At 50.6% G+C, this 1,277-nt stretch overlaps 1 annotated feature.

Moving 5' to 3' along the window:
• Positions 534–1,077: an enhancer, noted in NCBI's record as "H3K27ac-H3K4me1 hESC enhancer chr11:107620738-107621281 (GRCh37/hg19 assembly coordinates)". NCBI's record gives its function as "activates a minimal SCP1, AML or CMV promoter by ChIP-STARR-seq in naive H9 embryonic stem cells {active_cell/tissue: H9 hESC(naive)}" and the evidence as "EXISTENCE:reporter gene assay evidence [ECO:0000049][PMID:30033119]".

The following is a 1,277-nucleotide window of genomic DNA, read 5'->3' on the forward strand; positions in this document are numbered from 1 at the left end:
AAAACTGAGAACAGACAGAAAACCTGAGTGTATTTCACATTAATAACATAACCTCAGTAAAGGGCAGGGAGGCTGACGAGGAACTTTTGGACACAACACTTTGACCATAACCCTCATAGTAAAGGTGGGGAGTGAAGGGATAACAGACAAATCCTGAGCTCTTTTCTGTTTGTGTGTTTTTTATTTGCTACTGCTTCTCCAGAGTTTTGTATACCTTTGTTTAAACTTTTATTTTAGGTTTGGGATACATGTGCAGGTTTGTTATATAGGTAAATTGCACGTCACGGGGTTTGTCGTACAGATAATTCATCACCCAGGTAATAAGCATAACACCCAATGGGTAGTTTTTCCATCCTCACCCTCCTCCCACCCTCCACTCTTAAGTAGGCCCCAGTTTCTATTATTCCTTTTTGTGTGTGTCCATGTGTACAAAACGTTTTGCTCCCACTTATGAGAACATGTGGCATTTGGTTTTGTTTCTGCACTAGCTCGCTTAGGATAATGGCCTCTAGCTTCACCTACGTTGCTGCAAAGAACATGATCTCACTGCTTTTATGGCTTCATAGTGAAATGGGAAAAGTTCCCTTGTCCCCCTCGCAGGGTGTGCGATGGGGATGTGACTCGCTTCTTCAGTGTCCCGCTGCTCAAACCTCTATGGGGGGCATGCAGACGGGCAGGCTGTGGGGCTCCGACCCCAAGGCAGTGTCTAGGGGTGAAGCCCCAGTGGGCGTGTGTTACAGGGTGCTCTTTCAGTTTAGCCGTCCATAGGCGGCTTGTGTACTCAGCTCAATTAGACCCCTGCCTTATCGCAAGGACAGAGGGCTTTCTGTATCCCTGGGTTCTTGCCTTGGTGTACTGGAAGAATCGGATCACACGTGGGCTTGGAGACTGAGTACAAGGTTTTGTTGAGTGGAAGTAGCTCTCAGCAGTTGGGGGAGCCAGAAGGGAGATGGTTTTCCCCTGGAATCTGGCCATTCAGCAGCGCAGGCTCTCCTCCTCCGACCCTGTCCAAACTCCATGTTCTGCCGGTCGATGGCCTGCTGACCTGCCGGCGTCTGTCGGTGTGCTCTTCCACTGGCGTGTTCCCCTTGAGTCCTCTGGACGTCCAGCCGCTTGTGTCTCTGCCCGCTAGGGCGTTGGGTTTTTATGGGTACAGGATGGGGGCATGGCAGGCCAGGGTGGTCTTGGGAAATGCAGCGTTTGGGCAGGAAAACAGAAATGCCTGTTCTCACCTAAGTCTGTGGGCACAGGCCTGGGGGTGAAGCGCTAGCCAGGGA

The sequence above is a fragment of the Homo sapiens genome, chromosome 11, assembly GCF_000001405.40.
Source record: "Homo sapiens chromosome 11, GRCh38.p14 Primary Assembly".
Classification (NCBI taxonomy): domain Eukaryota; kingdom Metazoa; phylum Chordata; class Mammalia; order Primates; family Hominidae; genus Homo; species Homo sapiens.